General features: G+C 40.3%; 1 protein-coding gene across 50 annotated transcripts in view, besides 2 other annotated features; it reads right to left on the minus strand.

Annotated features, from left to right (window-relative positions):
* Positions 4,442-24,914, minus strand: part of CADPS (calcium dependent secretion activator) — a 477,069-nt gene continuing 456,596 nt past the window's right edge. For all 50 annotated transcript variants that reach the window (NM_183393.3, NM_001438352.1, XM_011534199.3 and 47 more), the window contains 2 exons: positions 9,175-9,279; positions 4,442-5,679 (listed from right to left, as the gene is read on the minus strand). In NM_183393.3, the coding sequence (NP_899630.1) occupies positions 5,500-5,679; positions 9,175-9,279 (285 nt within the window). In that variant the 3' untranslated portion in view covers positions 4,442-5,499. The remainder of the gene's footprint in view (positions 5,680-9,174; positions 9,280-24,914) is intronic.
* Positions 20,925-21,747: an enhancer, noted in NCBI's record as "OCT4-NANOG-H3K27ac hESC enhancer chr3:62400506-62401328 (GRCh37/hg19 assembly coordinates)". NCBI's record gives its function as "activates a minimal SCP1, AML or CMV promoter by ChIP-STARR-seq in naive and primed H9 embryonic stem cells {active_cell/tissue: H9 hESC(naive and primed)}" and the evidence as "EXISTENCE:reporter gene assay evidence [ECO:0000049][PMID:30033119]".
* Positions 21,748-22,570: an enhancer, noted in NCBI's record as "OCT4-NANOG-H3K27ac hESC enhancer chr3:62401329-62402151 (GRCh37/hg19 assembly coordinates)". NCBI's record gives its function as "activates a minimal SCP1, AML or CMV promoter by ChIP-STARR-seq in naive and primed H9 embryonic stem cells {active_cell/tissue: H9 hESC(naive and primed)}" and the evidence as "EXISTENCE:reporter gene assay evidence [ECO:0000049][PMID:30033119]".

Raw genomic sequence — 24,914 nt, forward strand, 5'->3', positions numbered from 1 at the left:
CCTCCATTATGTTTTGATCCATCCTAATTTCATCCTAGATTTTCAGTTTATCTTATTTTGCTCCTGTTTCTTCTTTGACCAGAAAATCTCCTTAAATACATTACACCCATTACCAAAGTACTGGTCTATATGTGGTCTATATGGTCTATATGGAAAGTCTATATGTGCAGAGGTACAAATGATCCTATCTATACTGATAAATGGAAAATGTGATTTGCCAAATAGTAGGCTCAGGATGATTCTCATTTATATATTGGGATCATTTATATATATATAAAATCTCCAATATACTTGTATATGATTTGAACATATTTGGAAGAATATATGCCCATCTGTTAGCAATGGCTACTTTGGGGAAATGGGTGTTGGGGGGGGGAGGCTTGAACGTTTTGTTTCATATAATTCTGTTCTATTTGATTTTTTTTAACTTAAAAAATTTCTTTAAATGTTTTGAAAAAATTAAAAATAGTAGTTAGTTCTTGGCTATGCAGACCAACAAACCCAAACTAAGTGGAACTAAATGTCCTCCTTTGACACTTCAATCTACTCTTCCCATGACAATCTCTCCCAACCTCTTGCCTAAGCCTTCCCACGAAGCAGGCTCTCTTAACACACTGGGCATATTCATTAATGTCTTAAGTTAACATGTATATGTTGAGTGTTTACTATATGCACTGGGAATCCACCAGAGAAGAGAATAGTTTCCCATTTCTATGTTCCAGCCAAGTGGCACATCCCCTGGCCTCCCCATGGTCTTGTTCTTGTCCTTCCCAATCCTCTTTATGGGCTCTTTAAGGCCCATCTCCTCAAGGAAGCCTTCCTTTCCTTCTCCCTCCTCTGAGTCTTATAATATTTAGTTTGTGTCTTTGGAAGATTCATACTACCTATACTATAAGTTCTACGAGAATAGCAACAGATCATCTCCATCCTTGTACTTTCAGCCTTCATTATTAGTCATATATTTATTGAGTACCTTGGGGACAGAGTGGGGAAGCTGGTATAGCCTGTACCCTCCTGAAGTAGAGAAAAGATATATGAAACATGTAACAGTGTACATAACCCATTCAGGAGTAGTGTGAATGCTAAGAAGGAGAAGTAGATACTGTTATGAGGATATATACTAAGGAAATAGATGCTGAACTGAGGGTGGTGTTTGGAAAGGCTTCCTTGGGGAGATCCAGTTTAGTGGGGATTTGATGGATGAGATGAGGTTGTTCGGAGGTGGGCCCCAGGTGGGAAGAACTACGGTGCACAGCAGGAAGTTGAAGGTGGTGGGTGTGGATGAACCCTGGGAATAAGAGGAGTAGAGTTAACAGAAGAGGCTGGAGAAGTAGGCAAGGGTTGGATTGTTCATGGCCTTGAATGCCACCTTAAGGAATTTGGGTTTCATTCTAAGGAGAGGAGAACAATTGGAGGCTTTTAATTAGAGGAGGAACGGGATCACACTTGCCTTTAGAAAGGTCTCTCTGGCTAATGAAGGGAAATGGAATAGAAAGAATCCAGGTGTTCCTAGCACAGTGCCTGCCTGACCAGTATGTACTCAAGTATTTGTGGACCAATTGTTCATAAAGTGAACGCCTATCAGGTTCACAATTTCCTTGATAGTTCCTACATCTAACTGGCACTTTTTCCTGTGGTCTCTTCCTTATCAGCCTTCAAATAGCTCTAAATTTTTCCACTTATTAAAAAAAAAAAAAAAAGAAAAAAAAAGACTTAAACAGGCACTTCACAAAAGAGGCTATCTAAATAAAAAATGTACTTAGCTCTCCTCCAGGGCTCCTGAACATTTTCCTACTTGTGCTAACTTTTATACACTGGACAGATGCTCCCTCTTTTACTTTGCATGTTTTAAAAAGACTTAAACTGGCACTTCACAAAAGAGGCTAGCTAAATTACCAATACACATGTTCAAAGGCAATCAACTTCATTTGGTAACTAGTGAACTACAATTATAAACCACCACAGCACTTACCAGAATGGCAAAAATTAGAGTGACAACACTTAATGTTGTCAAAAATGTGGAACAACGGAGACTTTAACTTGCTGCTGGTGTGAGCATAACTTTGTTCATCCTCTGTGGAAAACTGGCCACATCTTCTGAAAAGGAAAATACCTTTACTCCAGGACCCAGCAATTGCACCAAAACATATGTACAAGGAAATTCATGGCAGCATTATTCATAATAGTCGAAAATGTAAAACAACATTTTTATATGGATAAATCAATTATGGTCTATTTATACCTTGGACTACTATACAGCAATGAAAATAAATGAACCAAAATTACACCAACAATGTAATGTAGCGTAAAAGAATCCAGACACGAAAGAATATGTACTGTGATTGCAATGACAAAAAGGTTAAAATAGGCAAGTTGGTATTCTATGCCATTAGAAATCAGATGGTGGTTACCTTTGGGGTGTAAGGAGTGGGTAGAGTTTGGGAAAGGGCATGGACATAGGGTCCTCGGGGGTCTTCAGTATGTTCTATTTCTCAGCTAGGTAGTTGTTCCATGAGTGTGTTCACTTTAGGATAAATCATTGAGCTGTAGGCTTAGAATTCATGCACTTTTCTGTATGTATAATAAAAAACTAAAAAAGAAAAAAGACGATCACTCAAGATACCATCCCAAAGAAACAAAAAGGAACATCAAAGCTGTCTTCTTGACTTTGCATTTGTGGTCAGAATAAACTGAGGCCAGCAGTGGTCAAGGATAACATGGTCGGTGCTTTCTGATGTGTTCTGATGTCATTTCCTTACCCATAACCCCTTTCCTAGGGTTGCTGGGGGTACTATTTTACAGGATCCTCAGTGCAAGGCAGTGGAATCTTTTTTTGAAGGAATTTTTAAATTTAACCTTGGTTTTGGAGACAAAGTCTTTTCTGGCTTAGTTTTCCTCATGACTTTTACATCGTGCCCTTTGGTTAGTTATCTAACCCATTCACTTAGCCTTCCTCCAGGGCTCCTGAACATTTTCGTTCTTTTGCTAACTTTCACACACTAGACAGACATTCCCTCTTTACTTTGCATGTTTTAAAATTGTAGGCCGGGTGCGGTGGCTCACACCTATAATCTCAGCACTTTGGGGCCGATGTGGGCTGATCACAAGGTCAGGAGTTTGAGACCAGTCTGGCTAACATAGTGAAACCCCGTCTCTACTAAAAATACACAAATTAGCTGGGCATGGTGGCACACACCTGTAGTTCCAGCTACTTGGGAGGCTGAGGCAAGATAATCGCTTGAACCTGGGAGGTGGAGGTTGCGGTGAGTGGAGATCGCGCCACTGCACTCTAGCCTGGCGACAGAGAGAGACTCCATCTCAAAAAAAAAAAAAAAAGATAAAAAAATTTTAATTGTTACAAGATATATGATTTCATTTTGCAACTCAAAATATAATAAAAATATGTTTTAAAAAATCTTGGCTGTGCCATTCTGACTTAACTGTCTATCCCTGGGCAATCAAAGTTTTGTCATACCTGAAAGACATATCCCCACCATTTGTATTAATAGTTTTATTCTCTAATTTCTGGATTAATGCTTCTGCATAGAGTTAACTATTGGGCAAGTTAGCGCAACCCTTTTGAACTTAATTTCCTAATCTATAATGAGGATAACAATAGTTCTCTCCTCTTATGGTGGTTGTGAGATTTAAATGAGGTAATACATGCAGAATGCCTGGCATAGCATAGTTGCTCAATAAATAGGACCTCTTTTTGTAAGCCCACAAAGGCAGAAAGTACTGTTGCCTTGTACCTGCAGGCCTCAAGTAAGCAGAGCAAGACATGTTGTCTAAAGTGGTTGTTTTGTAGAGGACAACTGGCGACCGTTCTACCTGGTCCTATTGGAAAAGTAGCTGTTTCCCTAAAGCCTCAGTCAGCTTCCAGGAAAGATCAGCCTGGTTTAGTGACAGATGCAAATAAAGCAAACAAGGCTACAAAATGTTTAATTTCTTACAAACCTAGGTGATTATATTGCTGACAGGGCCTGAGGAGCAAGTAGACTACTCCATATCTTAGGGAATCTTTTAAAATGCTTTAACAAATATATAAGAATCATATATAATTGGCACACACTTTGTTTGAATGCAAACACTGCTGTTAAAGTGGTGCTTAAAAACAGTTTGTTGGCCTTCTCTTCGTACAGGAGAAACATTTCTCTCGTTTACACTACTTACTTGCTTAGCAAACCCTTATTTATCCTATAATGCAAGTGTAATCTGTCCAACATGTCCAAATGCCCACGGGTTCTGAATTAGTGGAGTCTGAATTAACGGAATTTTAGGCAGTCTCTCATGGAGAACTACGAGCATTTGAAAACGACCCACTCCAACAGTTTCAAGAACACTCTACAAAAATTACCTCTTCCCTCCCCTTTCCTATTTCTTCTTGTTGTGTTTCAGTTCTGGCATTCAAAGTAGACAGAGGAAGACAGACCCAAACGTATATTCTTAGGACATCTGAATATTTATTGAGAAGCCACAGTTTTCCACACTTCCATAACTGTAGGCTTTATATAAGGCAAAAGCAAGATGGATCCACTACTTTACATGGAAAGAAATAGCTCTGCAGCAAACCCCAGGGTTGTGCAGTTACAGATCAAAATGCAATGTACATGACAGATATAAAAAACAGTGTGGAACAAAATAATTTAAATTATGGTTACAATCTACTGAAGGAAATATCCACATCTTATTATAAACACATTTTTAGTCTAGGGTTGTAATTTAAATATTCATTTTTTTTACATACACAGTTGAGACGTAAAAGCAAAATAACATTTAAGAGGAGAAAACTTTGACAGAAGACAGTAGTTTTGAACTGCGCGCTTGATGTTAAGTCATGATAGGATCGCCCCCTTGCCGTGGCAATTAAGAGAATCAATCCATTGGTATGTAGCCATCCTTTTTTTTTTGGCTAATTATATGAGTAAATGAAAGGATGGGTTAACAACGACACAAGGGGTTCATTTTTTGGTTTTAGGGGAACAGAAAGCATCAAAAGTTAATTGTTGGAGACTTGCCTTTTGTTTTTCAAAAAATAAAAATAAAAACACAAAGCAGATCTATGTGTTTTAATTAATTTATTTACGTACTCATTTAATTAACTGGCATCCACATACGTGAAACAGAGTGAATGTACTTGATGTACTTGCCCTCACATCCATTTACCACCAATGCATACATAGTACATGAATGAAGCATCATTGATCTTTGCTGATAACAGGGACACGCCTAGTGGTTAGACTATGTATTCTCCATGAACAGTATTTAAAGAATGGTGCTCCATATTGCTTGTAAACATATAGACATGGACATCAGGAAATCAGTGGATATGAAGGTCATTTGCTAATCTTGGTACCACATAGCTAAAATGGCAGTTGTATTGATAAACATCTCATGGGCATGGTAGTTGACAGAAAATTCCTAATGGGTTTAACTAACAGACTAAGGACATGCACTGATTACAGGACTCTGTCCCAGCAGACTCTAGGACCAAATGGTCTAATCGTCTTCTTCGTCTTCCTCATCGCTGTCCTTCATGCTGATGCCCTGCAGTCCCCCACCTTCACTCACTGATGCTGTGGCTTCCTCCACAGTGAGACGGTTCCGGATCGTTTCATAGGTCTTGCTGTTTAAGGTGGAGTCCAGGACCCCTTGCAATCGGAAATCTCTGTAGGTTTTCTAAGGAAGGAAAAGATACAGTGATAAGAGAGATCTCATCTCCATGATGGGGAGGGAGAAGGTAAAAGCAGGTGTGGGTGGGAGAGCACTGACCTTCAGCTAAATATCACACTTTATGCATTGTCAAATAAAAAGCCACTGTGCTTAGATTTCACTTGTATTGAAAACTGAGATCCTTTGAATGACAGAAAATGAGAAATAGTGACAGGATAAACTATATTAGATGAGACAAAGCAAAGAACATAAGCTTGTGTTTATTCAGTTCCATAAAGGGAAATGTTCCATAATTGTTTTGGTTCCTTTTTGTGGACTGGTTCTTTCTCTTAGGTTAGTGTAATGTAATATGATAGACACAGGAAGGGGCTATAATATATAAATAATGGATTGAGTGATTATGGTATTTTGTGATTTCTGTTGCAGTCTTGTTTTAGTATTTTTGAGTCTTGTAACTGCATAAGCTGTACTGATATCCCTCTGTCTCATTCATAAGACAGACATATGTATGTTGGTATATGAAACCTATTACAGGCAGTGGCAATTATGAGAAAGATGGAGCGCTAATGCCTCATCAATATGTTGCAGACATGTGACTCATTTCTTCTCTCCTTGGGAAAGAACTGTATCTATTCTGTTCACAACTTTATGGTCTCAGGGAAGAAATTTGGCTCTTTTTCAAGAACAATGGCTTGGTATTACTGCACCACAAGTTCTTTCTTTGTTCCTTCAGGCAGTTTCTCTCAGATTTCCTTAGGTATCTCAAGGACTGTTTTTCTAGAAATCCTTCAGTGTTAATTGAATATGACCAGAAGCATCTGGCTGTTGTCTACTTTGTAATTTTTTTTTTGTTTTTTTAAAAGGTCTCTAACTACAACTCTCCTCATCACACTGCATATCATTTCAGCTACTGATTCTGCTGTTTGTTTCTCCTATTGATATAGGAAACTTGCTAAAGGGGCAAGACAAGGAATGCTAACATACGTCAACACCACTCCCATCATTCTTTCTTTTTTTTTTTCTTTTTTTTTTTTTTTCAAGATGGCATCTTGCTCTGTCACCCAGGCTGGAGTGCAGCAGATCGATCTCGGCTCACTGCAACCTCCACCCCCTGGGTTCAAACGATTCTCCTGCCTCAGCCTCCTGAGTAGCTGGGATTATAGGTGCCCGCCACCATGCCCAACTAATTTTTGTATTTTTAGTAGAGACAGGGTTTCACCATGTTGGCCAGGATGGTCTTGATCTCCTGACCTTGTGATCCACCCGCCTTGGCCTCCCAAAGTGCTGAGATTACGGGCGTGAGCCATCGTGCCCGGCCCATTATTTCTATTTTTAATAGTCCATCTAATGCGGTCATGATAGCAACAATCACAATGTCAACCCCTCTTGAAGGTCACATGTTGTAATGACTACAGAGTTAATGAGTGAACCCAGTTCAGCTTACTGAAGTCCAATAACAAAAAAGTAATCTGGTTTGACATTAAATTATAAGGTTATCCTCAATCATGCATCAACCTGCAAGTCTTGCTGAGAGGAGGAAGCTAGACAGCTACCTGAACTGTGTTTTCACTTTGATGGGGACGGGTAAGAGACTGAATAAATGTTAGGCATGGTGTGGGCCAGATATCTACACAATTAACTTAAATTTTTGTACTTTTCAATCATTTGTTCTGTTGCCACTTAGAATAACATAATTGTTGCCAGAATATGATGGGGGAAAATAAAGGTAAAAAGCATTTGAGCATTCTCCCTTTTATTCAAATTCCATAGCAACGTGTATACCAACTAGACTCTCAATGCCTAAGTGCAGAGACCACATCTAGTCATTTCTGAATCCTCCATCTGGTAATATACAAGTAGAGGCCCACCTAATATTTATCCAATGTTGAATGAATAAATAAATGCTTGCTGAATAATAAATGAATGGGTGAATAAATGAAGTGGCTGTTGATGCAAGAAAGAAAGCCAATTATCCTTGGAAATTTGCCCTGGAGGAGGAGGCCTCTGGGTGATGTTCTTGGTTTAAAGTTTGTGAATTCTGCTTCATAGCTCTGAGTTGTGGCATTAGTTAAGCTGAACCCACTTTTTGCTAAAGTGAAGGGGTTCCTTTGGCAGTGACTTTTCTATATCCCTTCTCTGTGGCTCATACCACATTTTTTTTTTTTTGTTTTGGCAAAAGGCTAAGATTAAACCTCCCCTCTGACTTATATTTTTCCTTCATAAAATATTGTTAATTTCCAACACCAATCTGGAAATAGAAATAATGGGAAGATAATTTTTAAGTATGACAATTATATCTTCTTTTCATGTCTACCCAATAAGGGTCAAACAGACAATTTCCCCAAAGTGCATTTATGCACAGAAAATGGAATTCAAGTGGTCAGGCGACCACTTGACGATTGAGCTGGTCCTAAGGAACTGAAGTAAAAAAATGTGAAAATGAGGCTGGGTCCATAGTCTAAGTGTATACATTCGTTTTTTAAGAGCTGTAATACACTGCTGTCTATAACCTTTCCCGGGTGGATGCTTTGTGAGATCAAATGCAGATAATAATAATTCTCCTTAATTACACACAACGGAACAGCAGTTGGTTGTAAGTCAGCACTGGGGTAAAGTGAAATGGTGCTGATCCAAAAGAGACTAAGAAACGGGGTGGGGGCGGGGGGGGGGGGTGCCCAGGAGTGGGTGTTGCAGGGACTTTTGGCAAACTGTTAAGAAATAGACATTCAGCTACATTTATTGTTAAAATATTTTAAAGGACTTTGTGCTTTGAATGAGATTTTTGCATACAAATGTTTTAAAACCCTCTATGGTGAAGCATCAAATAGAAACTGAAATGATCAAAAATGTATTTACCCCCTTCTGTGATCTTATTATTTCATGTAAACCACTGAGATTTCACGCTGAAATAATTATCATTAGTCCAAGGTGCACACACAAGAACAAGGGAAAAAGCTACTTTCAGGGTATGTTATCTCACCTTTGTGATCCTTTACATTTGATTGTATACACGCATTGTAAGACGAACTACTTCAATTAACTATGAGAACAATATTGATTTGCATTCTGATAATGATCACAGGACATATTTAGAAATAGCTGGGGGTAAATATTTCTATTAAATTAATAGCGGCAACATTTTATTTAATTAAACTATAAATGAAATTGGTAATGGATGTGATTAACATAATGACACCAAAAGCCAGTTTTTGAAAGTCTAATGCAAAGGACACGATGGCCTCTGCCGTATTTTTGTATGGCAAAACCAAGTATTTTTCCTCTCTGGAAAAAGATATCAAATTCATTTGTATTAAATTTCCCTTTGCTGTCTGAGTAACACATTTATCATGCATCACAAAACAATTGCATAGGTTTTTCTTGTATGAGATACTATTTTATATGTAAACTAATATTCTTTGTGTTAAGCAAGCTTTGCAGCTTGCCAGTGAAATATATTTCAGTAAGCTATTTGCAAAGAAGAATAATAATCTTTTCTTTTACCTTTACCATCCTAATTAGTGTTTTCAACTGATAAATATGAAGCTGTAAGTCCATCCGGTCCGTCAACCAGGTGCAGATCACGTTCATGGAGCTGTTGTACCATTGCTGAAAAAAGAGACAAAAGTTCTCCAGCCAACACATCATGGAGCATTTATAGGGCAGAGAGAGAGCAGGCAATGTTTGAGTACCCCACTCTGTTCCAGGAGGAAACAAAATGGTTAAAGAGAATTTGAGAGCATAGAGTTTAATGAACGTTAGTTAGTTTATACAAAATTGCAAGGTACTGGGTACTGGACCAATCCAAGACAGACAATCTAAGACAGTTAGGACTTCGAATCTAATTGAACTCTTCCACGACAGACATTTCCTATGTTTCAATTCATACAGACCATCTTTTGCTCTTCTGATTCTCTTTTTTATTGGTTAATTTTACACCATTTATATTCAATACATTAATTATTTCCTAATGTCACTGTCTTTGGTGCCAGAGAGATGAGGGCTTCTCCACTGGATTAATTGATGTTCCTTGCCACTTACCGTTTGAAAATTCCACACCCTGTCTGCTAAGTACAATACTGGAAATTGGGCTGAGAGCCTTAGGAATTTAGGGGCAAGTTTATCTTCATTTACCTGATTGAGGAGTGCTGATAAAGACAATGAATGAAAATTTCTCTTTAAGGGCCAAACTGTACTCTGGGCAGCTTATGTGCCCTTATATTGGCTGTGCAATCTGTTTTAATCTTAACACCAAAAAATTATGGAAGATGAGAGAAAAAAAAACCATCTACAAATGAGCTCATTTCAAGCTGTTGAAATCATACTTCCCCTTAAGGGGGTTAAATTTTGCTTCTTGTCTGTGAAAAATGCTTGAAGCTGTGTCACTTTAGACTGCCACCCCTGTGGTGCAGGAAGTCTCTGGTGCAGTATAATTTTGCAGTACTGCTCATATATTCATAAATCTCACTCGGAGACATATGAACAGTGTTATGAAGTGTCAGTATAAAAAAAAATCTAATCTTTTAAACTTCACCAGGTTTCATTACGCTCTGCCGCTTATACCAAACAATTTACAAATAAAATGAAAAGGTGTGGATGGACCTATATATTTATTTATAGGGGATCTATATGAACTGTGCACAGAAAAGATGCAAAAAAGAAAGAAATGGTTAGAGAATTGAGATGATGCATACTCTCACGCTAACCAATACACACGCACATGCACGCGCGCGCACACACACATCGCACACCAGTGGGGATTCGAAAAGCATAAATAAAAACATGTTTCTGATGGTAACTCCACCCTTTCTCACCTAAAGATCATCCAAAATCAGTTTATGCCTAACACTCACAGTTTTTCCGAAGCCTTGTTTCTGACTTAATTTCTTTTAAAAAAATTAATTTAGGTTTTTACTTGCAAGGTAGAACTGCCAAGTTTCACCTTGCAAGAAACGACACAGTCTCAGCCATGGCGTACAGAAGCCCTCTTTGCAATCTTTCATTTCTAGGCTCCTTCCTCATCAGAGCCAATTGTGGCTCTCCTTGGAGCCCAGCCGCAACAGAGACCACACTACCCCAATCGAGGCAGCACTGCAGCCTCACAGCCAGCTTCTGCTCTTTTAAAGATCATGGAGGCGAAACTGTCAGTTTTAGGAACCTTCTGTCCCTCCCCAGGGAGCAGGAGGGGTAGGAAGTAGATTTTTTTTTTTTTTTTTTTTTTTTGGAGATTTGCAGTTCACTCCATGGAGGCAGGGTGTTTGCTGGGGTCAAGCTGCTTCAGGCATGGACAGGTTTTCCCCTCTAGGGGTGAGAACATTTTACTGAAAATTTTTTTTGTTAATGGTTGTTGGGGGGTGTTTTTGGCACCTCCTGCCTTGGGATTCTGGAGCTTTTGCTGTCACTGCATCTGGGCTTGTTAAGAAGGGGCCCAGGGACAGGGTGATCACTGGGTCACTGGTATTCTGGCAGCCCTACCTTACTCCTGGCAACTGGAGGGCTCTCTTGTGCTAACCCCAGGCCTCAAATTCCACATTTACTGGTTGTAGCTGACATGTAATCTGGGGGGGGGGGGGGCTCAACAGATCTATTTTGAGAACTATGATGAACCTCCCCTTACCCCCAGCCTCCTGGGATTGGAAGATGACCTTCGAGCAATCCTGGCAAACTCCTGGCCAAACCTACAATTCCAGGGCCTCATGAGGGGTACATCTCAGGGACACAAAAGAGGAGTGTGGCACTCTGGCTTCTAGGCAGAGGTGGCATTTTGCTTTGGCTGTGACAACAGGCAAACCGGCGCTGGCTTATATCACTGCCAGCAAGCCTTGTGCAACATGCCTTTTTCTCTTTGCTGAGAGACGTGCCACCTTTCAGGAAAAAAAAAAAAAAAATAAAATAACGCAACCCCCTGCCGCCCCTCCATTTTATGTAAGCAGTTCCCACTCTTGTAAATGGCTTCTAGTAGTAAAAAATAAAAATAAAAATAAAAAGGTAGGAGACTATCAACAATCTTGCTCGGCTGCCGAAAGGATAGGGAGGTAGAAATTGCATACAGCAATGAATCAGTGCATCACACGCAGCCTCCCACCCCAGGAGAACAAGAAAGCCCTGGAACATCCATGCTTTCCTTCCTGGATCTCACATCTAGCAAAAGAAGTGTAAAAAATGTATGATGCCCCATTGGCTACACATTTAAAGAGGCAAAAGGGAGTAAGTCACTCCTTTCCAAACCTTATGCTCAGGAGATGAAATTGGAGGCACTTTTGGATGCAGCACAGTGCTAACTTGGTTTTCCAGAAAGGCGCTTCAAGGCATTTGGATGTCGGAAAAAACAGGAGGCAATGCCTTCTAGAACTTTAAAATGTTAGAGGTACAGGGGATCTTCCACGTTATCTGTTGTAGAGGAGGAAACAAAGGCCCAGAGAGGTGAAGTGACTTGCCAATGTCACACAGTGAGTGCCTCCGGAAGCAGCAGCTCTCCAAGATAGCCACAGCATTGAAAGAGCGGACTGTCTTCCGTTCCTCCTCCCTAAGGGATGGAGCAGTGTGTTTGCCGGTCATGACAGCCGATCTTGCACATCTCTTCCCGAATCCGCGTTCAGGGATATCACATTGATAGCTAGAAATAGGCCTTCGTGGGGGATTTTTTCATCATGGGAATTGGCAAATGCCACAAACCAGGGCTTTCTCCCTCCCAGAAAGCCAGTCATTAAACATTTATCAGCACAATCCTTGGTGTCTGGGTTGTTCTGCTCTTCCTCACGGGGCTCACAGTGCTTATTAATCGGGTTTGCTTTATTTGAGATGGATGGGAATGCAGCAGATTTGTTATGATCTTCAAAGGAGGAAATTAATAAAATATTTTAAGTGCTCCCTATTTTGTTTAGTCCTTGGTTCAGATATGCCTTTTCCAGAGCTACCCTAACACCTGGGCACTAACTTTTCGGTAAAATATACTCTAAGTCTGTAGAAATAAGAATTGTGGGCTGACGACATGTACTAAGTATTTAAGTATAATTTCTACTCCTTTACTGCCTCCCTTTAATTCAAATATATTAATTTGAAACTTGCTAAATAAAGCTACTTTAATCCTAAAACACAGCACTAAAGAAATAAAGCCCCCAACAGCCTGGGCACCTTTAAAATATGCCCTCTGGGGAAAATTCTGTGAAGGTTTTGAACTTGTCACCCAAAAGGATGCCCATCATAGACAACAGGGCCCTTGGAAAGGTGGGAACTTCTTCAGCAGCTGAACTGGATCTGAAGGCTCTATTTAAAAGAAGCTGGAAGGCTTATCTAAAAATTTGCCACTTAATTCTTCTTTCTACAGTGTAGTGGTTAAGAGCACAGGCTCTAACATCCACCTGGGTTTGTGATCTTGGGCAAGTTACTTATGTTCTCAGAGACTCGGTTTCCTGATGAAAATGGGGACTAACTAGCCTTTTATAGGCTTTTTCTGATGGGTAAATGAAATCATGCTCATAAAGCACTCACAACAGCATTTGGCACATGATAAGGCCTCAATAAATGTTAGCTACCACCACCTCCACCACTGCAATCAACATCATCATCATCATCATCATCATCATCATCTTTCTTCTCTTTTTTCTCTCCCTCTCTCAACCTAAAAGATTCCCAAAAACAAGGGAGAAAGTGGAACACGTTACCAGGGAAAGTCATGTGGTGGTGAAGAAAATTATTCCCATTGGAATATTTCTGGAATTGTATGCATGCCTTATAGGACACACAAGTAGCCCCTTAACCATGCAATTGTGTTGTAAAGTTTTTTCTGGTAGATCATCACCCAAACTTTGGGTTCATAAAGCACATTTTAAACTATATTGACCTAGATTTACGTCTTGAATTAAAAAGATTCAGACACAGAATGAGTGATTTCTCAAACCCTGTGGGGTGAGTTACAGCTTCACCTTACACTGGCTACTTATTAGCTGGGTAACCTCAAGGAAATTACTTAATTCTCTGATCCTCAGTCTCCTTTTGGGGTTAATACCAGTACTCTCTTCATGGGATTACTGTGAGCATTAAAAGAAATCATGTATGTGGAGGGCCTAGCAGAGTGAGTGTCACATAGTAAGGACTCAATAAAATTTACCCACTGTTGTTATTCCTCTCAGAAACATCATGGATATACTTTCTTTTTGTTTGTTTTTCTTTTTTTGAGACAGAGTCTTGCTCTGTGTTCAGGCTGGAGTGCAGTGGCATGATCTTGGCTCACTGCAACCTCTGTCTCCCAGGTTCAAGTGATTCTCCTGCCTCAGCCTCCTGAGTAGCTGGGACTACAGGTACAAGCCACCATGTCCGGCTAATTTTTTGTACTTTTACTAGAGATGGGGTTTTGCCATGTTGGCCAGGCTGGTCTTGAACCCCTGACCTCAGGTGATCTGCCCATCTTGGCTTCCCAAAGTGCTGGGATTACAGGTGTGAGCCACTGCCCCTGGCCCATGGACATACTTTCAATATGTGACAGAAAGACATTTTTTTGATCCTCCCTTTCTAGTAAGAAGCTTAGATCATTAATATGCAGATACACTTGGGTCACCCATTCTGCCCTGCAAACATACTGACTTCATGTAGAGAAATCCTTAAACATAAAATATTTATTCTCTAACATTCGGGTTCACCAAGGCCAGGATTAGGGTGAGGGAGTAGGGCAGGGTTGTACAAGTGCAGGATCAGATCTTGTCTTTAATGAAAATTTTGATATTTCAGTCATCATGGATTTTTTGCACTAATTTTGATTTTATAAAAATGTTGTATTAAAATGTTATTTATCTTGGTTACTATATTTTTTGGTTCTCCCTTAAATTTTGTGATAGAAAAGTTGCTCACTTACCTCTTCCTAGCCCTGCTCTTGGGTTCACTGTTCCCCTGGAAACTTTACCCCCTGGAAGGGATTAGGCTTGAGACAGAAGATGGGTAATTAACACCTTACTGGACATTATAGGATTCACAGAAAATGGGCTTTCATTTAACTCTGGATACTATCTAATCAGCTATATAGAGTGTTGCTACAATGATTGCTACTGCGGTTATGTCTTCTGTCATGATAGCCACTCTCATTTACATGAGTCTTAATTCCTGACCCCCAACATCTTGATGTTAATTTGATATCCTACAAAGACATTACTGTTAATGGTACATTTGTTTTCAGAACAAGCCATATATCACAGATGAGTGGCAGTGGAAACAAGGAGTAGTGGCTGAGAGGAGATAGAACCACTGACTGTATTTTCATACTCAATTGTCACAAGAGTAATTTATCCCTTTAACTTACACAAACCCCTGTCAGACCAGACAACTCCGTAGGACTTTAGAGTCTACTGTTTTCAGCAAAGTACTATTTTGTACAGGATTCCTAATATACACCCATATGCACTCACGTGCATGTACAATTCATAAGAATAGTTGCCTACTCATTGAACATGGAGCCCTTATAATGTTCAGGCACTACACGAAATATACTACAAGCATTATATAGTTTAATCATTGACTTGAACTCAAGATGTTGATACTATTAACAGTCTTGCTTTGTAGATGAGAGAAAAGGGCATAGATAGGTTACATAAGCAGCCTATGGTCACACAACTAGTAAGTGGTGGGACAAGTTTCAAGTTGGTTATTTACCACTAAATCTGTATAAAAGTTGTTTGCATTCAACTTGGTACTTTATAGAAGTAATGGATTGGTTACACAGAAACAGCTCTAGTCCTAGGTGTCCCTAAAGCAAATTCATTCAGCTTTGAAGTTCTCAAAGAAGTGTGTGGGTAGGACAACGCTGTTGAAACTGTTTCTCTTAGAGCCTGAGCTTGGCTTGGTGTCGGAAAGATTCTACATTTTATGAAGATAGAAAGTTGCTAAGCAGAGTGTGGGGACTCGGGGGCATCCCCATGGAAAACCACTCAACAGCCTTAAGAACTGATGGATGAGAGACAATCATTGCTGACTCTTAAGGGAAATGATAAGAAAAAGGTGAATGAGTCCGAAGGCTACCATTTCTTGACTAGCATTGACATAATTTTTCTTGTCCCCTATCATCCTACCTCCTCTTCTATTTTAGGTTGGTAACTCATCAATTGCTAGTGGAAGAAACTAGAAAAGTTTCCTTCATCACAATGATTGAATATTCCTAACAGAGTTTTAGAGATACAAAAGCTATAACGTTGATCAAAATTTCTGAAAAATTACATATCATAGGCTTTACAATTTTTAGTGAATAAGGAGAGCAAAATGGTAGAGCCTTTTCATGTCAGGGGAAAAAACTGTCTCATGTGAAATTAAAGATGTCATCAGGAAGCACTAGAAGAGAAGAATTTTAGGCAAAGTCACAAATCCAGTGAAAATAGTCTAATCCAAACTCGGTTCTTCCTGTGTTGCTTTTTTCTTCACAGGAAAATTTTATTGAAGTATAACACACATACTGTAGTAAATCACTTTTAGCAACACACACACATACATATATACACACACACATACTCCCAACAAGATATGTTACCCCATGCCTGTAAGTGAGGGAAATATTTCACCCAATATCATAAAAATGAGCTCTTTAAAAAAATAATGGCCTAAGAACAAATAACCATACCATGCAGAAACACACACCTTCACACACCTTCTTTGATTGAAAACTTGTGACTCAGTCCAATATATCTCCATCCTGAGTGATAGTTGAAATCCACTAGGAACTGAGTTCTATTGTTAGTTCTTTTCTAAACATGTATTCCTTTGAAACTGGCATGTTCAAGCCATCTATATTAGGAAAGCAAAGCATTAAATGCCTGGGCAGTTCATGTCTAAATTCTAAACAGTGCTGTGGCTGAATCTTTATCATCATCCATAGTTTCACTTCACAGATGAGGAAACTGAGACTCAGAAGTAAAGTGGTCTAGCAGCTAGCAAGAGATGGAACATCGACTTAAAATTCTGAGAGGCAGTGCAACCTGTGGCTAAGAAAATGCACGTGACTCAGACCACTTGTGTTTGGATCCTGACAAATTCCTAACACCGCTGTGCCTCAGTTTTTTCATCTGGTAAGTGGAGATAATAATAAAACCTACTTAGGATTAAATGAGTTATTTAGGTGCTGAGTGCTTATAACAGTGCCAGGCACATCCTAAGTACTGGGTATTATTATCTGAGCCATGTTGTCCTAACCTGCTTCCCAAATAAGAAATCACAACTCCTTGAGTGTGAACTACTCAGGGTTGTACAAAACTTTCTGAGCAGCAGGCCAAGCACAGTGGCTCACAGTGCCTGTAATCCCAGCACTTTGGGAGGCTAAAGTGGGAGGATCACCTGAAGCCAGGAGTTTGAGACCAGCCTGAGCAACACAGTGAGACACCGTCTCTACAAAAAATTTAAAAATTAGCCAAGTATGGTGGTGTGTGCCTGTAGTCCTAGCTACTCAGGAGGCTGAGGTGGGAGGGTTGCTTGAGCCCAGGGGTTTGGGGTTCCAGTGCTATGATTGTGCCACTGTACTCCAGCCTGGGGAACAGAGCAAACCCCTGTCTCTGAAAAAACAAACAAACAAACAAACAAACCCCACCTTTTTGAGCAGCTTCTGTTTTTCTAAAAATGCCTGAGCAAGCAGGCAATTTGGTAACTGTTTGGTAACCAATCGGTGTTTTTGAACTGAATGCTGGAGGATTTTTATATTTTCTCTGGAAAGTTCCCTTTCTCTAACCCAACACAGCCACACCTCAGAGAAACTGGCACAGCATCTTGCCTAGAGGGGCTAATGAAATAACATTTTGTTTGTTGGCAAGGAGTCAAAGAGGAAGATAATACTTTGACCACGCCCATGTGACTAAGTTCTTCATTTTGTTTTTGGTGACAAAAGTGAACTATTATTTAAGGGAAAAAACCCCTACAACCTATTTCAATTGCTATATTGAAATACTGTAATGAAATATTTTATGTTTGAAGCTTTCAATGCGTATTTCTTCCTTACAATTTGGGTAATTTAAGAACATGGGAAAAGCATCATTCAGGGTTTCTTTACACTTCCACCAAAGTCCCTGTAGCTTCATTAGCCTAAGCCAAAATTCCACAGCCCCCTGGGTCTCTCAGGTCTAACGATTACCGGGGATCTGGTTGTATTTGGTGTTCTAATCAAAGATTCACAGAGGGTCTGACAAAGAAACCCTGGCACGTTCAAGCCGTCTATGCCAAGTGGGCAAAGCACTAAAGGACGGCACGCAGTTCATAGCAAGTTTCCAGATTTGTCAAAGCTTCCCAAGGGCTGAACAAATACTTTCTAAAAGGGCATATCCTCCAAATGCGTTCAAGAACCAGTATGCCGTTGAAAGATACAATCTTCTGCCTTACTTGAGTGTTGCTATAATTCAGGATTCACCCTTCAAAACAACTGCTCTTAGAAATGGGTATTTCCCAGTCACAGCTTCAGGACGCGCAGCTAACAGCACAAAGCTATAATCAGACACCAAAGCTATAATCAGACACCGAAGCTCTAAACAGACACCAAAATCAGAGGGTACAGATAATCAGAATGACCTTCTCAGCTGCCCTAAGTGTCATTTTTAGTTGAGGGTAGGATTTTTTTTTTTTTTTTTTAACGTCCGTAATTCTTTGGATACCTGAAAACCCATGCCACTGAAGTCTTTACAAAGCTATCAGTGCTGTGGCTTTTCAGGATGGCCGGGTCCTAAAGTTTGGACGGCAGCTCCCTGAGGACTCACTGACGGAGGAGTCTGAGACAACGTGCTACAACCAGTTTCAGAGACTATGGCTTTCTATAACCTGCTGCTGAGAGAATTCAGCTCCTCTTTTGCCTTTAGCCTTTTCTCATTAGGAAGAGATAATGCAAAAGACATAATAATTTAAAAGATATATTTAAATTATTACTGCTTAAAATATTTGCTGCTTCTGTGGGAAGGTATAAGGGATTTAACATTTGGGAGCATTATTTCAACTCCCTTAGGAAGGTCCCAAATATCTTGATTTTTTATTAAGATAAGCAGTTATCTATTAATGACCAAATTCCAACTCTGTAAAATGTGTAATAAGTAATTCTTTAGCATCAAAATTTCTAACGAATGATTAAAGGGATGAATCCACAAGTAGACTCCCGACTTAATGCATTTCAGCCTTCTAACCCAAGTCAGTCCTGTTGCATGGGGGAAATTTCAAGGGGAGGCAAGAGTCCAGAAGGATCCTTTCTAAAAGCAAATCAAGCAGGGGAGTTTAATCCAAAGCTTAGCTTATATGAACTATCTAGGGGTCTCTCTCTGGAAGACACATCTAGTGGGGAATTTTTAGCTAGCCAAAGCCAGAATACAAGTAAGTATGTTGCTTCTGAATCAATCTGATTGTCTAAAACCCAACAAGTCACAAAATCCCCCTTTATCCTACCCAATCCCACTTTTCAATATGGCGGGTGGTCATCAGTGAGGAGGTGTGATGGTCTCAGAAAGGCTATCTTTCCTAATAATCATAAGATATTGCTGGAAATGGTGTACCATCTTCAAAGGAGAAAACTAAGCCAAAGTTCAACTCATTGATACCAACTTAAAGACACGAAGGCACAAGATGGGAAAGCAGAGGCACTGATGTGAATTTTCAGTTAGGAATACTACCTCCAACCCAAAAGCAAATACCACTTTTCCGGTTTCCACAACCTGAGTAAGTACCATTATACTTACTCAAAAGTGGAACTTTTGAGTATAGATGCAAAAACATTGAAAGTAGGATCTAGAAGAGATACGCCCACATTGATGTTCATAGCAGCTTTATTCACAATAGCTGGAAGGTAGAAGCAACCCAAGTGTCCATCAGAGGATGAGTGGGTAAACAAAATGGGGTATATACATACAATGGAATATTATTCAGCCTTAAAAAGGAAGGAAATCCTGTCACATGCTACAATATAGATAACCCTTGAAGATATTATGCTAAATGAAATAAGTCAGTCACGAAAAGATAAAAACTGTATGATTCCACTTATATGAGGTATCTAGAACAGTCAGAAAGTAGAACAGTGTTACCAGGGGCTAAGGGGAGGGGTAAATGGGAGTTGTTTAATGGGTGAGAGTTTCAGTTTTGCAAGATGAAACGACGTCTACAGATCGGTTGCATAACACTGTGAATCTATATAATACTATTGAACTGTACACTTAGAGATGGTTAAGACAGTACATTTTTTGTTATGTGATTTTATGACAATTAAAAGAAAGATGGGAAATAAAAATCACTTCCCATACTTAAAACGAAACTTTGCCTAAGAAAGAACAGATATGTAGCAATGTACATATTCTAATCTGGCACACCCAAACATACTTTAAAAAAAAAAAAAAAAATCTTTGTAAGATGAGTGTAGTCATTTCATTTAATCCCAGGACTGAGGCAATTTCTCAAGCTCTCAAGGCTCCACAGAATTTTGAGATTATGAAGAACAAAGAACAAATCTGGTAGCATTTGCTCAGTCATTTATTTGGTTTATTTAAAACATGCCACGGGGCCAACATTTCTAAATCTGTGAAATAGAATTAAATGAAGCCCAGAGATGAGAACTGAGAATCCTCATAGAGGACTGGATCCAAACAACAAGAAAAGGATGCATTTTTTTACACCGTGAACCACATCACCTCATATGTTTTCACAGAGACTCCCCTGTCCCTTATCCACCAGCCCCCGCTCCAATTTTTCAAGCCAGATCTGCTCAAGCAATACTCAGCCCTGAGACCCCAGTTGCCCAAAAGGGCAACAGCTCTCCATCCAGAATCACTCCCACCACAACAGACTTATTAAGGTTTGGAATGTGTGTTCAGGAAGCCCTTATTTTAGGAAACAATTAAGTAGAATTAGGCTAATAATGCAAGGCAGGCAAAGCTTTTGCCCTTTGCTGAAAAATAACTCCTACGTGGAACAGTTATACTAATAAAAATCATGTATTTCTTAAATGCCTCAAAATGATCTTTGCACCAAGCTCAGCAATTAACACTGCCCCACTGAGGAGCATTTATTCTCCAGGCTTGGGAGGATTAATCTCCCTGTTCGCCCAACCAATGTCTTCTGTTGGTGAAAATACAGTGTGAGGCTTTGGGGTCTGGGAATAGAAATTTCTGCAAGTGGGAATTTTGCAGGAGGCTTAATTCCCTTCTCATCTCAGAGGGTGGCAAGGTGGGAAGGAAGGGCTGGGAGCCCCCCACTAGGCCCAAATAGAGGCCACATCAAAACTCTTCTCGGGCCTACCTGTTCTTGACCTCCAGGGAGGACGGGAAGGCCTTTCTTCAAGTGGCCTGGGCCTTGTCTACTGGGGGATTGTTCCCAACCCCCCCAAACCCACTCTCCCCTCAAAGTAGCCATTCATGGGCCTTCCTCTGGGCCAGAAGCAATAGATATCCCAGCTCCAAGTCTGGGCAGGAAGTGACCGCTGGGCAAAAGCGGGACACAGACCCTCCCGTCTGATGCTTTGTCTCCTTGACAACACCCCAGCTGGTGGCCCGAGGCACAGGCTTAATTTCTTTTCTTTCTCTGCCCACCCTCCCCGCCCCATACTTCTTTCCCTCTTTCTCTACACGCACACGTACGACATCCAACATAAAGTTGCCGAAATAGCAATCTTGTCTCTGAATATATAAATTGCAAAAATTGATATGAATAAATCTGCAAGTAGCACACTGATTGTGGCACATTTTATCAAAAAACGGCGCTCGGTTGCTCGGTGGCTGGGGAGGGGGTTGGTGTCATTACACATACAGAAAAACATCTGCAAACTCCCAGTTTCTTTACTTAGAACTGAATGGAGGCATGACCTCCTGTTCCTTGCCATGAACCCTGAGTTCACACTCATATTTTACATGTTACAGGAAGCCACAGCTCGCCCCAGGGGTGCTGCAAACAGACACGCAGAAGCCAGATGTAGCCCCCACCCCCCCAACTCCTTAATGCACCTGAAGAAGCCGGCAACTCGACATTCAAAAGCTGACATGCTCGTAGCTTAAGGTCACTTCAGATTTTGTAAAGAGGAGGACAAAACCAGGAATGCTTCTAGGGCTGGGCTGTCAGCGGGGAGGCAGAGGGATTACAAGAAACCTGTGACTCTGCCTCTTTCTGCCTTTGCTGGTAGTTTTTTTGTGTGTGAACAAGTGCCATACAACAGATTGAGCCTCGTATAAAGGCCTGAGACTGTGCAAGGGTTCCCCGCTGGGCCTCAGCTGTGCTTGCAATTAGCAATAGGCACGGAGTGATTATTGTTGGGGTAGCGGATGGCAATGCGAAGTGACAAGTTTTATGGGGGAAGTTGGGAGTGGGGATGCTCTGCAAGTTTCTCTTTCTTTCTTTTTTCTTTCCTTTTTTCTTGTTCTGCAAAATACCCTTCCTTGGGAGGCTGCAACCTCCTGTTTCAGTGAAAGCTATTTTTCTTTTTCCCTCGTCATTCAAAAGAGTCTTAACAAAATTGTTTGAAAGAATATTTTTCTCAGTGCTTCAGAATGCGGGTTTTCTAGGTCAGAGCTTCCTTGCTGCCCTATTTAATGTCAGAAATACCCATTTGCCTCAAATTAGCAGAGAGCTTGGAGTTGAGGGCAGGAGATTAAGCACACAAAATTACTCAGCAGGTGACGGTGGGGTGGATTTGGGGGTTGAGAAGTCTTTAAAACTGACTACAAGACATTATATACTTCTGACAAAAGAACATAGTAATCCTACCTGCTTGCTTTAACCACTGTTGTTTGCCTATTATTATGTGCTTTAATGCTCATGAGAGCAAAACTATTGCTGATACTACTCAATTACCATAGTAACTCACACCAGTGACCTCTTATCACAGGGCTCCCAGCCCAGCTAAACCAATCCAGACAGTTTGTGTCTTTTTATTTATTTAAACGGTGACATATACTTGGACTGGAAAGCTCCAAATAGAGTCGACTCCTCTCTTTGTCTAGAATAAGAACTTGTTTTGAAATTTTGAGTAAGGGCCTTTTCACCTTTTGAATCTGAGGTGGTTCTGAAGTTTATGGATTTGAGGCTGTGAAACGCCTTCAAAAACATGAAGACACCGAACAATGCCCAATAAAAAGAAAAGAACATGTGTACATCAGAGACCAGCAGCCTCCCAGCTGCAGGAAAAGTTATGTTTCCCACTCAGGTCTCCAGCTATGGTCTCTCAAAGATTGGTAGGAGGAAAACTGGAGGTTCTTCCTGGGGGACCATTGCTATTTTATCATTTCAGTGGGCTAAACACAGACAGGACAAAATGACTACTCAGAGGGATTTAACTCTAAGTTTTAAAAAGGAATTAAAGGTGACATTAATATACTTTTTTTTTTTTTCTGAGACAGGGTCTTACTCTGTCATCACCCAGGCTGCTGTTACCCAGGCTGGAGTGGAGTGGCGCGATCACGGCTCACTGCAGCCTCAACCTCCCTGGGCTCAGGTGATCCTCCCACCTCAGCCTCCCAAGTAGCTGGGACTACAGGCGTGCACCACCGTGCCCAGCTAAGCATACATTTTTCTAGCTTCGCATTTTTCACTGGCCTGTGAATGTATATGTGAATACATGTGTGCATACTCTATGCTGTACTCTGTCTGAACACTATTGGTGATTCTGATTTGTTGTGCCACATTAGCATATTAAACGCTCTGAGAAGTTCTGTAGTAGAGAAGTCCGTTTAACTTTGTGTTTTTCCAAATGTACTTAACACAATAACTATTTTTCTTTTACTCTTTTTTTTTTTTTTTTTTTTTTTTTTTTGAGACTGTCTTGCTCTGACGCCCAGGGTGGAGTGCAGTGGTGCAATCTCGGCTCACTGCAGCCTCTGCCTCCCAGGTTCAAGCGATTCTCAGGCTTCAGCCTCCTGAGTTGCTGGGATTACAGGTGTGTGCCACCCCACCTGGCTAATTTTTGTATTTTTAGTAGAGATGGGGTTTTGCTATGTTGGCCAGGCTGGTCTTGAACTCCTGGTCTCAAGTGATCCACCTGCCTCGGCCTCCCAAAGTGTTGGGATTAAAGGCGTGAGCCACTGCACCTGGCCAGAACAGAAGAACTATTCTTCATGAGCCACCCATTAAATTCTCTCAGGATGTTTATGTCTCATTGAATCTGATTTGGAAAAAAGTTCTATAGTGACATTAATAATATTGCAATGACTCACAGCTGTAATCCCAGCACTTTGGGAGGCTGAGGCAGGAGGATCACTATAGGTCAGGAGTTCCAAGGCTGAGGTGAGCTATGATTGCACCACTGCACTCCAGCCTGGGTGACGAAGTGAAACTGTCTCTAAAACAAACAAACAAACAAAAAAAAACCTAGCAATAATAATAATAAAAGTAGGCAGAGAACAATGACATGTGCCTATAGTCTCAGCTACTTGGGAGTTTGAGGCGGGAGGATCACTAGAACCCAGGAATTTAAGGCCAGCCTGGGCAACAAGTGAGATCCTAGTATCTTAAAAAAAGAAAAGAAAAGAAAAGAAAATATTTAGTGAGCACTTATTATATATCGGGCACTATTCTAAGCAGTGTATATGACTTAAACTCATTTACTTCTCCTAACAACCTTAAGAAGTAATGACTTGTTAAATCCTATTTTACATTTCTATAGTATATAATATTTATATGAATTTGTTCTCTATGAAAAAGGAAGAAAAGGAAATGTAATTTCATATGTAATAAATTGGCTTTTAATTTTTATTGTATTTTTCCTGTTTCTGAGCCTTCAGAGATTGGGAAGCCCATGGGTTACATGTTTTCTTTTTCTTTTCTTTTTTCTCTCTTTTTTTTTTTTTTTTTTTTGAGACAGGGTCTTACTTTGTCACCCAGGCTGGAGTGCAGTGGCAATCTCAGCTTAAAGCAGCCTCAACCTCCCAGGCTTAAGTGATCCTCCTGCCTCAGCACCCCAAGTAGTTGGGACTACAGGTATGCAACACCATGCCCTATTTTTTTTTTTTTTTTTTTTTTTGGTATTTTTTTGTAGAGATGGGATTTCGCCATATTGCCCAGTCTGGTCTCAAACTTCTGAGCTCAAGTGATCCACCAGCCTCAGCCTCCCAAAGTGCTGGCATTATAGGTGTGAGCCACCAAGCCCGGCTGATAAATAATGTTTTCTATAACTACATGAATGCCCTATTAATATCAACTTAAATGAAGAGCAAGGCAAAAACCTTCAAAACCCTCCCACCTTTGAACTCAAGGTGCCCAAATATCAAAATATACCTTCCCCCCTCTATCTCTTTTGATTAGCCTCCAAGGCCCTCCTGCCTTGAAAGAAA

Source organism: Homo sapiens, chromosome 3 (assembly GCF_000001405.40).
Source record: "Homo sapiens chromosome 3, GRCh38.p14 Primary Assembly".
Taxonomy (NCBI): domain Eukaryota; kingdom Metazoa; phylum Chordata; class Mammalia; order Primates; family Hominidae; genus Homo; species Homo sapiens.